This window comes from Homo sapiens, chromosome 1 (assembly GCF_000001405.40).
Source record: "Homo sapiens chromosome 1, GRCh38.p14 Primary Assembly".
NCBI lineage: Eukaryota > Metazoa > Chordata > Mammalia > Primates > Hominidae > Homo > Homo sapiens.
This window is the reverse complement of record NC_000001.11, coordinates 37,918,710-37,931,862: the sequence shown is the minus strand read 5'-3', so window position 1 is coordinate 37,931,862 and position 13,153 is coordinate 37,918,710. Positions and strand designations below refer to the sequence as shown.

General features: G+C 47.0%; 1 protein-coding gene across 21 annotated transcripts in view, besides 3 other annotated features; it reads left to right on the top strand.

The window, feature by feature from the left end:
* Nucleotides 1-13,153, top strand: part of INPP5B (inositol polyphosphate-5-phosphatase B) — an 86,361-nt gene that overhangs the window by 15,195 nt on the left and 58,013 nt on the right. For 2 of the 21 annotated variants that reach the window (NR_158631.1, XR_007059978.1), the window contains exon 1: nt 72-190. The exons of 17 other annotated variants lie outside the window; for them this stretch is intronic. Coding sequence is in view for 1 of the 4 variants with exons in the window: in NM_001297434.2 (NP_001284363.1) it covers nt 151-190 (40 nt within the window). In the remaining 3 variants the exon portion in view is untranslated. Of the gene's footprint in view, nt 1-71; nt 191-13,153 lie in introns of those variants that run through there. 2 more of the 21 variants (NM_001350227.2, NM_001297434.2) reach the window with 1 other exon arrangement.
* Nucleotides 145-374: a silencer, noted in NCBI's record as "silent region_683". NCBI's record gives its function as "represses an Ori minimal core promoter by ATAC-STARR-seq in GM12878 lymphoblastoid cells {active_cell/tissue: GM12878}" and the evidence as "EXISTENCE:reporter gene assay evidence [ECO:0000049][PMID:35858748]".
* Nucleotides 669-1,168: an enhancer, noted in NCBI's record as "H3K27ac hESC enhancer chr1:38396367-38396866 (GRCh37/hg19 assembly coordinates)". NCBI's record gives its function as "activates a minimal SCP1, AML or CMV promoter by ChIP-STARR-seq in naive H9 embryonic stem cells {active_cell/tissue: H9 hESC(naive)}" and the evidence as "EXISTENCE:reporter gene assay evidence [ECO:0000049][PMID:30033119]".
* Nucleotides 5,461-5,700: an enhancer, noted in NCBI's record as "active region_778". NCBI's record gives its function as "activates an Ori minimal core promoter by ATAC-STARR-seq in GM12878 lymphoblastoid cells {active_cell/tissue: GM12878}" and the evidence as "EXISTENCE:reporter gene assay evidence [ECO:0000049][PMID:35858748]".

Here is a 13,153-nt window from a genome sequence, read left to right as displayed (position 1 = left end):
CAGGGGGCGGGCTCCGTTCTGTTTTGGGGCGGAGCGATGGAGAAGACAGGCTTTCGATTGATGGAGCGGGCACACGGGGGCGGGTTCGTCTGGGGGCGGAGCGCGCGGGACGGGCGGCGGGATGAGGAGCTTGAGGAAGCAGGCAGGGAAATGTCTGCCGCCGCCGGCTCTCGGGAGCGCAACACTGCAGGTTCGGCGGGCGGCGGGAAGCTGGGCTGGGGAGCTGGGCCGGGGGCGGCGGTGCGCCCGGCCCTCGGGTGGGCAGGGTCGGCGGTTTGGCCAGTGGACGCTCGGGGCGAAGACCAAAGTCCTGGTGGCCCTCTGGAGGCTGGGACACTGGGGCAGAAGTTCTGTGATGTTCTTCTTAGGCGTGCGTGACGAGGGTAGGCGGGTGGGAATGGGGTACTTGGGAATCCGGAGGCTGGGGTTTTAGTAAAGCTCCGTTCCGAACTCGCTGTGTGACCTCGGGCCACTCGCTGCCCCTCTCTGGGCCTGTTGCTCCATCTGAGCTTGCTCTTCAATCCTGATCTTCCGAGTTTGTCGCGTGGGGCGGGTGGGGGAGTGGTGCCCTGCCTACGATAGAGTCTTCCTTTGGGTGAGGTATGGTATGTGTTGGGGCTCTGTCAGTTCTCAGCCCCTGTGATGATAGCGCAGTGTACAGGGCTGGAGTCTTGGGGAGCCCTGTCTACTCTGGGACTAGAGGCCAGGATGAAGTTACAGGTTATAAAAGGACTAGGTTTTTTCCCACCCAGCAGTTGGTGGATAATGGGGAGCACAGAAGGCCAGTTGCTGAGCAGGAGCTTGTCGTTTGGAGATGGGAGGCTCAGGGCTGAAATTTGGGTGAGTCCGTGCTCTGGGAGGACCTGCAGACCTGTCTTTTTTTGTCCAGCTCCAGGGTTTTCTGCAAGGGCCCCTGGTGCTTTTTTCCCCTGGGTGTGTCCGTGAGGCTCCATTTATGTGTGAGCTTTGGCATGACCCCTAGTACCTATTTGTGACAGTCATTTGCCAGCAATGAAGAGCCTGTCAAGTAGCTGTGTAAAGTGTGGGCCAGCCCTCCACTTGCTCTTACAAGGCTTGGAAACTATGAGGGGCAGGGAGGAGTGGCATGTTGCACAAGAGTTTGTAAACTGAGAGGAAACGAGGTGAGCAGAGGACTTCCTCGGTGCTTGTTTCTCCTTCATTGCAGCCATCACAAGGTGCGATCGAAGCGCCTGATGGTGCTGATAGTTTGCATCTTCCTTGGGCTTATCTCAGAGTTCACTATCACTAGAGTTTCCATGACATTCTGGGCTATGGTGCTGGGACGGGTGAGAGTTTAAGAGCACCTCATCTCCTTGCCCCTTCACAAGAGACTGCCAGAATCCAGACAATTGGCGGAGGACAAGGCCAATGGCAGCAGAAAGAGGTGGGTGCTGTGTTCTCAGCCAGTACACCAGAGCCAGGCCATGCAGGCACTTCATTCCCTTAGTCTTCTATGACAAGTCAGGCCAGCTAGCTCTGAAGCCAGTTAGCTGCCCCGACTGAGAAATGTGCAGGGATCTCAATCTTTCATTTCCTTTCAAAAAACAGAGACTAGCCATATGCTGGTGAGGAATTATTGTTACGGTTTCGGTTTTATTTTTATTTTAAAATAATTTGAAAGCTGAACATGGTGGCGCGTACCTGTAGTCCCAGCCACTTGAGAGGCTGAGGTGGAAGGCTTGAGCCCAGGAGTTTGAGGGTGATGTGCACTATGATTGATCCTGTGAATTAGTTGCTGCACTCCAGCCTAGGCAACATAGTGAGACTGTCTCTAAAATAAATAAATAAATAGTTTTAAAAATTTTGTCAGCCAGGCGTGGTGACTCATGCCTGTAATCCCAGCACTGTGGGAAGCTGAGGCGGGCGGATCACCTGAGGTCAGGAGTTCGAGACCAGCCTGGCCAACATGGCGAAACTCCGTCACTACTAAAAATACAAAAATTAGATGGGCGTGGTGGCAGGTGCCTGTAATCCCATGTACTCTGGAGGCTGAGGTAGGAGAATTGCTTGAACCCAGGAGGCAGAGGTTGCAGTGAGCCGAGATCGTGCCATTGCATTCCAGCCTGGGAGACGGAGCAAGACTCCATCTCGAAAAAAAAAAAAATTTTTCTCTTAAAATACCTACAGTAAGTGGGGTGACACTATTAATTGCTAAGTTGCTCCTGCTAAAATTGGTAAGAAATGGTATCAAGCCCCTCAGTTCTATTTGGGTCATCTGTTTCCAGAGTTATTATGGCCTCAGAGGAGAGTTACATCTTCTATAACAGGTAGGAAGAACCCTTTGGGCTGCCTTTGGATGTCGATACAGGCCCCAAGGGAAACAGAGTAGTAGATTGTTTTTTCCTATATGCATATGATCAAAATACCCACTTTTTGATAGCCTAGAGAACCCAAAGCAAACAGTTGCTTAAAAATGCTGTTTCTGGCTGGGCACGATGACTCATGCCTTTAATCCCAACACTTTGGAAGGCTGAGGCGGGCGGATCATGAGGTCAGGAGTTCGAGACCAGCCTGGCCAACATGGCGAAACCCTGTCTCTACTAAAAATACAAAAATTAGATGGGTGTAGTGGCACATGGCTATAATCCCAGGTACTTGGGAAGCTGAGGTAGGAGAATCGCTTGAACCCAGGAGGCAGAGGTTGCAGTGCGCTGAGATCGTGCCACTGCACTCCAGCCTGGGAGACAGAGCGAGACTCCATCTCAAAAAAAAAAAAATTTTTTTTTATCTTATCGTAATACCTACAGTAAGTGACTGGGTGACACTGTTAATTGCTAAGTTGCTGCTGCTAAAATTGGTAAGAAATGGTATCAAGCTCTCCAGTTCTGTTTGGGTCATCTCTGTTTCCAGAGTTGTTCTGGCCTCAGAGGAGAGTTACATCTTCTATAACAGGTGGGAAGAACCCTTTGGGCTGCCTCTGGATGTCGATACAGGCCCCAAGGGAAACGGAGTAGTAGATTTGTTTTTTCCTATATGCATATGATCAAAATACCCACTACTTGATAGCCTAGAGAAACCAAGGCAAATGGTTGCTTAAAAATGCTGTTTTTGGCTGGGCGCGGTGGCTCATGCCTAATCCTAGCACTTTGGGAGGCCGAGGTGGGCGGATCACAAGATCAGGAGTTCAAGACCAGGCTGGGCAACATGACGAAATCCTGTCTCTACTAAAAATATAAAAATTAGGCCAGGCACAGTGGCTTATGCCTGTAATCCCAGCACTTTGGGAGGCTGAGGCAGGCGGATCACAAGGTCAGGAGATCAAGACCATCCTGGCTAACACGGTGAAACCCCATCTCTACTAAAAATACAAAAAAAATTAACTGGGCATGGTAGTGTGCGCTTATAGTCCCAGCTACTCGGGAGTCTGAGGCAGGAGAACCGCTTGAACCTGGGAGGCAGAGGTTGCAGTTAGCCGAGATCGCGCCACTGCACTCCAGCCTGGGCGAGACTCCATCTCAAAACAAAACAAAACAAAACAAAAAAACCCCAAAAAAACAGAACTTAGCTGAGCATGGTGGCAGGCACCTGTAATCCCTGCTACTTGGGAGGCTGAGGCAGGAGAATCAGTTGAACCCGGGAGGTGGCGATTGCAGTGAGCTGAGATCGCGGCATTGCACTCCAGTCTGGGTGACAAGAGCAAGACTCTGTCCCCTCAGAAAAAAAAAAGCTGTTTTTGATTCACGGCAGGAGAAACAAAGGCACCCCTCAGGAGCTGGCAGTCTGACTGAGAGGGGTCTGATAATACGTAGATAGAGGTAAGAGAGTATAGGGTTGGCCCAGCAGGACAGTGTTCCTTGTAGCGTGAGCCAAGGGCATAGAGCACCTTTGAGGCCCAGGCATTTTGGGGGATAGGTGAATCTGGTCTTCATTCTTTGCCTTTGCATTAATAGAGATAGGAATGATCTTTGATGATTCTTTCAAAATGTCCTTTCTTTTCTTTGATTTGTCTCTGCTGAATTCAGGAGTGTTAGGCTGAGCTTGGTAGAGATTATAGTAGAAAAATGAGGCCGGGCGCAGTGGCTCACGCCTGTAATCCCTGCACTTTGGGAGGCCAAGGAGGGCGGATCACGAGGTCAGGAGATTGAGACCATCCTGGCTAACATGGTGAAACCCCGTCTCTACTAAAAATACAAAAAAATTAGCCGGGCATGGTGGTGGGCGCCTGTAGTCCCAGCTACTCGGGAGGCTGAGGCAGGAGAATGGCGTGAACTTGGGAGGCAGAGCTTGCAGTGAGCTGAGATTGCGCCACTGGACTCCAGCCTTGGTGACAGAGCGAGACTCTGTCTCAAAAAAAAAAAAAAAGAAAGAAAAAGAAAAATGAAATGGAGCTAGTTTCAGACTGGAATCCACGTCTTCAGGTTCAGACCAGTGTCTAGGAGGTAACTTGTGGTGTTGAAGTCAGGTAATGCTTTTGGTTGAGTGGCAGCTTGTTCACGTGATTCTCTTGCCAAGCCCAGCTTGCACTGACTTTAGATTGGTAGTTGAATCGGTAGATTGGTAGGAGTCTTTCTGCTCCTGCACTTATTTAACTGCTCCTTTTTTTTTTTGAGACGGAGTCTTGCTGTGTCACCAGGCTAGGAGTGCAGTGGCACGATCTTGGCTCACTGCAACTTCCACCTCCCGGGTTCAAGTAATTCTCCTGCCTTAGCCTCTCTAGTAGCTGGGACTACATACATGCACCTGCACGCCACCACACCCAGCTAATTTTTGTATTTTTAGTAGGGATGGTGTTTCACCTTGTTGGCCAGGATGGTCTCCATCTCCTGACCTTGTGATCTGCCCGCCTGGGCCTCCCAAAGTGCTGAGATTACAGGCGTGAGCCACCGCGCCTGGCCTCACTGTTCTTAACATCTTTTTTCTTTTCTTTTTTTTTCTTCCTAACCACTAGATGACCAGGGATGCTGTTAACTTCCTTTTGCAGCTTTTTCTTTCCTTAAAAAGAGTGAAGTCTGATTTGGGAGAAATACCTCATTATTTCCATCTAGCAACTGAAGTTGCTCTTATTCAGAAAACCCCATTGAGGATCCTGTACAGGGCCCAGTACTTATCCAAGTCAGTCTGTAAAATGTTCACCTGCATTGCATCCTGGGTACATGCAAAACCTGGAGCTGTGTTCTGGAGGGTTTTGAACTATGCACTAAAAAGGAAATGGCTACTCAGAAGTCCCACAGGGGCCATTCTGGGCTATTTTAACAAAGCAGTAATAGCAAATACATTTTGTTTTTTTTTAATCCAAAGTTGATTAGAAATGAGCCAGCTTCGCCGGGTGTGGTGGCTCAAGCCTGTAATCCCAGCACTTTCAGAGGCCGAGGTGGGCGGATCACAAGGTCAGGAGTTCAAGACCATCCTGGCCAACGTGGTGAAACCCCATCTCTACTAAAATATAAAAAATTAGCTGGGCGTGGTGGCGTGCGCCTGTATCCCAGCTACTTGAGAGGCTGAAGCAATCACTTGAACCTGGGAGGCGGAGGTTGCAGTGGGCTGAGATCACGCCACTGCATGCCAGCCTGACGACAGTGAGACTCCGTCTCAAAAAAAAAAAGAAATGAACCAGCTTTGTAGTAACTCAAATTTACAAGGGGATGTGTTTAAGTATTTTTTCTTCTGGACCCAGGAAACAAAGTATTAAAGTCTGTCATGCCAGTGAAAGGAAATGAATGCTATTTATATCTCAGGGTAACATAAAGGGTAACCTAGTTTACCAGAGTAGAAGCCAGAGAGCATGTTAGCAAAATAGCCCCCGGGGTGGTTTTCTCTCTCACTCTCTCTTTCATCTTGTTTTGTCAGTACTAATAGGTAAAACTTGTGTGACCAACATATCCTTTTAGCATGGAGAAAATAAATTTGCTTTTGTTTATCTTAGAGAACAAATATTGCCCATCATTTCCACCGTTGTGGGAAGCTCTGCAGGCTCCTAAGTAACTTATTTTAAGTCACTTTGTTTCCTTAAACAAAAGAGAACTGTATTCGTTTTTCTTCTTCCTTTTGTTGTTCCCCTCTCCATTTTCCTTCTTTGGGCCATTTAATCCAGTTTTATGTTTCTAGTACAAGAGAACCCCCTAAAGATTCTTTTTTTCTTCTGAAAACAGTTTGTTTTGGAATTCTGCAGTTATTGTTGAGAGCAAGTGAGGTGACCCACAAACACTCAGTTAGAAGTGGAGCTTTGAACAGAAAAATCCTCAGGGAGGGACAGTTCAGGAAGAGGGAGGCATCAATATATTTATTAGAGGAAAGATACTGTACTGTTGGAGGATAGATGCTAGCTGACTTGCATGTTTTTCTTTGCTACTTAAAATATACTGTTAGCCCGGCACAGTGGTGCGCACCTGTAGTCCCAGCTACTCGGAGGCTGAGGCAGGAGTCTTGCTTGAGGAGTTCCAGACCAGCCTGGGCAACATAGTGATATCTCTAAATTTAAATAGATAAATATATAAAATAAATTACGCTCTAACAGTTTTGTTATTGGTGATCCATACATGAACTGAAGCTAGCAAATATGAATGAGAAGAGACTTTCTTTCTTGGAATGCCAATGATGAGAATTTAAACAAAGTGGATGTCAAGAGGCCTGGACATTTTTCTTTTTCTTTTCTTCATGGTTCCTTGGTGCACTATTACTTTCTCTTTTTGTTTTTATTTATTTTTATTTTTATTTTATTTTATTTTTTTGAGACGGAGTCTCACTCTGTCACCCAGGCTGGAGTGCAGTGGTGTGATCTCTGCTCACTGCAGCCTCCACCTCCTGGGTTTAAGCAGTTCTCCTGCCTCAGCCTCCCAAGTAGCTGAGATTACAGGCATGTGCTAACATGTCTGGCTACTCTTTGTATTTTCAGTAAAGACGGGGTTTCAACATGTTGGCCAGGCTGATCTTGAACTCCTGATTTCAGGTGATCTGCCCACCTTGGCCTCCCAAAGTGCTGGGATTATAGGCGTGAGCCATCATGCCTGGACTAATTTTTATATTTTTAGTAGAGACAGGGTTTCACCATGTTGGCCAGGCTGGTCTTGAACTCCTGACCTCAAGTGATTCAGCCTGCCTTGGCCTCCCAAAGTGCTGGCATTACAGGTGTGAGCCACCATGCGCAGCCTCTTTTTGTTTTTAGAGACGAGATCTCCCTGTGTTGCCCAGGCCGGTCTCAAACTCCTGACCTCAAGTGATCTTCCCGCCTCTGCCTCCCAAAGTGCTGGGATTACAGGCATGAGCCACCGCGCTTGACCTCTTTGTACGATATTAAACGTGTGTCTCAACTTTCCTCTTATGTCTTTAAAATGGGAGTGAATGTTTGCCTCCTGGAAAGTCACACAGGACTTAAGCAATGCTAATTATTTAGACGTGCTTTCATTTGGGAAATACAATTAGAAATGGGAAATGCTGGCCAGCAGCGGTGGCTCATGCCTGTAATCCCAGCACTTTGGGAGGCTGAGGTGGGCGGGTCACTTGAGGCCAGGAGTTTGAGATCAGCCTGGTCAACATGGCGAAACCCTGTTTCTACTAAAAATACAAAAATTAGCCCGGCAGGGTGGCACATGCCTGTAGTCCCAGCTAGTCAAGAGGCTGAGGTACGAGAATCGCTTGAACCCCAGAGGTGGAGGTTGCAGTGAGCCGAGATCACGCCACTGCACTCCAGCCTGGGCAAGAGCGAGACTCTGTCTCAAAAAAAAAAAAGAAAAAGAAATGGTAAATGCTCACCTCTGAGAACTGAGAACCTGGCTGCTGTCTTCAGGGTCTATCCTAGGGGGATTTCTTCCTGATAAGAACTGCATTGGCTGGGCACAGTGGCTCAGGCCTGTAATCTCAGCACTTTGGGAGGCTGAGGCAGGTGGATCACCTGAGGTCAGGAGTTTGAGACCAGCCTGGCCAACATGGTGAAAACCTGTCTTTACTAAAAATACAAAAATTAGCCAGGTGTGGTGGCTTGCGTCTGTAATCTGCGTGCCACTTGGGAAGCTGAGACAGAAGAATCACTTGAACCCTGGAGGCAGAGGTTGCAGTGAGCAGAGATCACGCCACTGCACTCCAGCCTGGGCGACACAGCGAGACTCCATCTCAAAAAAAAAAAAGAACTGCACTTACTCCTTTCCTCCCTCCATTTTCATATTTCTGAATGCAGTCACTAACAACCTCAGGGTATCCTTGACTCTTCCCTCTGCTCTCATGTCTAATAAGCAAATTCTGTTCATTTTTTTTTTTCTGCAGTGCCTCTCCTATCTACCCACATTTCAAAATCCCCCTTATTCATGTTGGTATCCTCTTAGCTGAACTGTTGCAGTAGTCTTCTTGTAAGTCTTCCCAACCTCAAGTTTCCCTCTCCTTTAGGGATCTCCTTAGAACATAACTTTGATCGTATTCTACTATTTTGTATGTGAACTTCAATATTGTACCACTCCCTGTTGCCTATAGAATAAAGCTCAAATTCCTTAGTATAGTGGTCAAGTCCTGCACTGCCTGACCTCAGCCTGCTTCTCTGTCTGGTCTTATCTGCTACAACTTATCTTCATTTCCTTTTACTTCAAACTTGACTGCTTATTATTTCTGGATAAAGCCCTGTACTTTTTCACCTATTTGTTGACTTCTCATTCAGCTACATTTTTGTAAGCTTGAACTTGCTGCTTTTAGCATTTTGCATTCTCTCTCCTTCCCAAATGACAGCCGAATGCCTTGTACATCAGTAGGTGCTCAAAAAATGTCTGTCTCTGGTTGAATTGTAGAGACCCATACAATTTCTAGCCCAAGGTGCTTTGTGGCCTCAACAACTCCTGCCCCCTTCCTCTTTGAGCATGCTCTGCATCTCTGTGTTGCCCTCCCCGCTTCCTGGTTTGCTCTTGCCCACTTCTCTTTTAGCTTTATCACCAGACCACAGACAGTTCACAGAAGGCCCACTGAAGGGAAGCCTGAGAAGGAAAAATTCAAGTCATCTCTCCAGGGGCCTATCACCACTAACCAACCTGTTGCCGTAAAGTAATTGCACTGTAGTCTTCCTCCTTGAAAGCTAAACTGGTCATATTTAGTCCTTGCCAGCCTAAATTGGATTTGCACAGGGTGCAAATTGGATTTCCAGTCTAGAACTTACAGGTTTGCTTGGCATGAGATGTGTTTTTAGAGATGTCTGTGTTCATTTTATTTTATTTTATTTTATTTATTTTTTTGAGACGGAGTCTCGCTGTGTCACCCAGGCTGGACTGCAGTGGTGCGATCTTGGCTCACTGCAAGCTCCGCCTCCTGGGTTCATGCCATTCTTCTGCCTCAGCCTCCCAAGTAGCTGGGACTACAGGCGCCTGCCACCATGCCCGGCTAGTTTTTTGTATTTTTTAGTAGAGATGGGGTTTCACCGTGTTAGCCAGAATGGTCTCAATCTCCTGACCTCGGCCTCCCAAAGTGCTGGGATTACAGGTGTGAGCCACCGCGCCTGGCTTATTTCATTTTTTGAAACGGAGCCCAGCTTATTTCATTTTTTGAGACGGAGTTCACTCTGTCACCCAGGCTGGAGTGCAGTGACATGATCTCGACTCACCTTAACATCCACCTCCCAGGTTCAAGCAGTTCTCCTGTCTCAGCCTCCCAAGTAGCTGGGACTACAGACATGTGCCACCATGTCTGGCTAACTTTTATTTATTTTTATTATTTTTATTTTCATTTTTTTGAGACAGATTCTAGCTCTGTCACCTAGGCTAAAGTGCAGTGGCATGATCTCAACTCACTGCAACCTTCACCTCCCATGTTCAAGTGGTTCTCCTGCCTCAGCCTCCTACGTAGCCAGGACTACAGGTGTCTGCCACCACACCCAGCTCATTTTTATTTATTTTTAGTTTTTTGAGACAGTCTTGCTCTGTTGCCCAGGCTGGAGTGCAGTGGCATGATCTCGGCTCATTGCAGCTTCCACCTCCTGGGTTCAAGCAGTTCTCCTGCCTCAACCTCCTGAGTAGCTGGGATTACAGGCGCTCGCCAGCAAGCCCGTTACAGGTGCCCGCCACCACGCCTGGCTAAGTTTTGTATTAGTAGAGACGGAGTTTTGCTATGTTGGCCTGGCTAGTCTCGAACTCCTGACCTCAGGTGATCCACCTGCCTTGGCTTCCCAAAGTGCTAGGATTACAGGCGTGAGCCACCACGCCTGGTCTTTATTTTATTCATTATTATTTTTAAAAAATTTTTGTATTTTTAGTAGAGACAGGGTTTCACCACGTTGGCCAGACTGGTCTCGAACTCCTGACCTCAGGTGATCCTCCCACCTCAGCCTCCCAAAGTGTGGAGATAATAGGCGTGAGGCACTGCGCCTGGCCCTGTGTTCATTTTAAATGATAGAATCTATGGCACTTCTTTTTAAAGCTGTGAGATATTTGAGAAATGTAAAAGAAATGAAAAAAGAAAACTAAACATGGTTATTTAACTTTGAAGAAAGTAACAAAACAATTTGGGATGGTGGCAAAGCTGAACTGGAAAAAATGGATTTTTTCCATTCTTTTCAATGCCAGGTGCCCTGTGTTATGAATGTCACTCAAGAGTTACCTGCCCTGTGTACTATGTGCTAGGTAAACAGCTCCTTTTTGTCATAAGAGTAAAATCCAAACTCTACATGGCGTTTGAAGTCTTACAGTTTAGCCTAAATTTACTACTGTTGTTATCATTATTAGTAGCACTTACCATTTATTAAGCACTTACTTTGAGTCCATGGGCCTTACACTGTGTCACAAAAATTCCATAAGAGGATCTCTATTATTTTTATTTATTGATTTATTTTTGAGATGGAGTCTTACTCTGTCACCCAGTCTGGAGTGCAGTGACGCGATCTCGGCTCACTGCAAACTCCACCTCCCGTGTTCACGCCATTCTCCTGCCTCAGCCTCCTGAGTAGCTGGGACTACAGGCGCCCGCCACCACGCCCGCCTGATTTTTTGAATTTTTAGTAGAGACAGGGTTTCACTGTGTTAGCCAGGATGGTCTCGATCTCCTGACCTTGTGATATGCCTGCCTCGGCCTCCCAAGGCTCTGGGATTACAGGTGTGAGCCACCGCGCCTGGCCGAGGATCTCTGTTTTTCAGCTGGGAGATTGAGGCTTAGAGAGGGTAGGGTAACATGCTTGTGATCACTCATCTGGTCATTGGCGGAGTCGAAAATAGAACTCAGGTCGCACTTGAGACCTGACTCTTACACTCTTGTTCTTCTTCTTCTTTTTTTTTTTTGAGACAGAGTCTCACTCTGTCGCCCAGGCTGGAGTGCAGTGGTTTGATCTCGGCTCACTGCAACCTCCGCCTCCTGGGTCCAAGTGATTCTCCTGTCTCAGCCTCCCAAATAGCTGGGATTACAGGTGCCCACCACCACACCTGGGTAATACTTGTGTTTTTAGTAGAGACAGGGTTTCTCCATGTTGGCCAGGTTGGTCTCGAACTCCTGACCTCAAGTGATCTGCCTGCCTTGGCCTCCCAAAGTGCTGGGGTTATAGGCATGAGCCACCGCTCCCGGCCACATTCTTCTTTTGTATCCCTAGTGCTTCTCAAATAAAACTTTTCCCTACTTATTTATCCTACTTATTATTACTTGTTTCCAAGCATACCATAATGCCCTATCTTTGTGCTTTTGCTGAAGTTAAATTTTCTCTGCCAGAAATGCTTTCTGAGCCTCTCGTTTTCTCATCAGTGATATAGTTTATTGGTTGAGAGCACAGACTCTTGGCTCAGATTCCCTGGGTTTGAACCCTGGCTGTGTGCCATTTACTACTGTGTGCTCTTGGGCAAGTTATTTAACCTCTCTGTGTATATCTCCTGGTCTGTAACGTGGACATAATAACAGCACCTACCTCATAGAGTAGTTGTGAGGATAAAATATATGTAAAGTGATTTAAACAGTGCTCAATACGTAGTAAGCCTTAAGTATTAGTTTTTGTTTGTTTGTTTGTTTGTTTTTTTAAGATGTAGTCTTGCTGTGTTGCCCAGGCTGGAGTGCAGTGGCATGATCTTGGCTCACTGCAACCTCTGCCTCCTGGGTCAAGTGATTCTTGTGCCTCAGCCTCCCGAGTAGCTGGGATTATAGGCGCCTGCCACCACGCCTGGCTAATTTTTTTTTGTATTTTTAGTAGAGATGGGGTTTCGCCATTTTGGCCAGGCTGGTCTTGAACTCCTGACCTCAGGTGATCTGCCCACCTCGGCTTCCCGGCTTCCCAAAGTGCTGGGATTACAGGCATGAACCACTGCTGGCCAAGTATTTGCTCTTAATATTATTAGTATTTATAATACTATCATTGTCATCATCAACAGAGCCTGACTTGTATTCTAGGTAGTTGGATCTAGAGTGGTTTATTTCCCCATGAATTCTTTGCTAGTATGTAAGGCCCTGTCTCAGACTTAGAGAGCCCTTGGAATGTCCCCCTGGTGGTGTGTGCAGGGCATGATCTTGCTGGCAAACATTGAACCTACTCACTTAATCCGGTCAGTTTGAACTGTCAGGTATTCTGAAGCACATGGTTTGCAGGTATTTTGCTTGCATGGTTTTGCAGGTTCTTCCAGTGTGCTGGAAATGGGATGCAAAGGCTGGTGACTGAGAAGATAGGAGGGGACACCTCCTCCTAGACCTAATAGGTGCTCAGGAAGGGTAGAACGTGATCTCCACCCAGCAGTGACAGCCACACTCCCACATATCCTGTACAGACTGTGCTGATACTTTTGCTTGGTTATCCAAACAGATTTAAACCTTCTATTCACATCGTACTTACCCTTGGGAGTTTATAGTTTCATTGATGATGATGTCCTCATGCATGCAAAATGGGAGGCTGTGGGACTTTGGAGTCAAGCAGATCTGGGTTTTAATGTCAGCTGCACCATTTACTGGCTCTATGTCCTTGAGCATGTCTGCTATCTGCTCTAGGCCTCAATTTCCTTATTTGTAAAACAAGGCTAATAATCAGACACAATGCATGAAGCATTGAACGTATTACCTAACTATGAGAGGTACTTGATAAATGGTAGTCATCATTATTAAAGCAGTGGGGGATTAGGAGTGATGGAGAAGAGGGAGAGGAACAGTTCCTGAATGTCTGCTGTGTACCAGGCATTGTGCTAGGTTCGTGACCCATGTAGATTGTATTTGTTTATCCTTTTGAGGTCTCCGTAAATATGGTAGCATTACTTCCATTTTACAAATG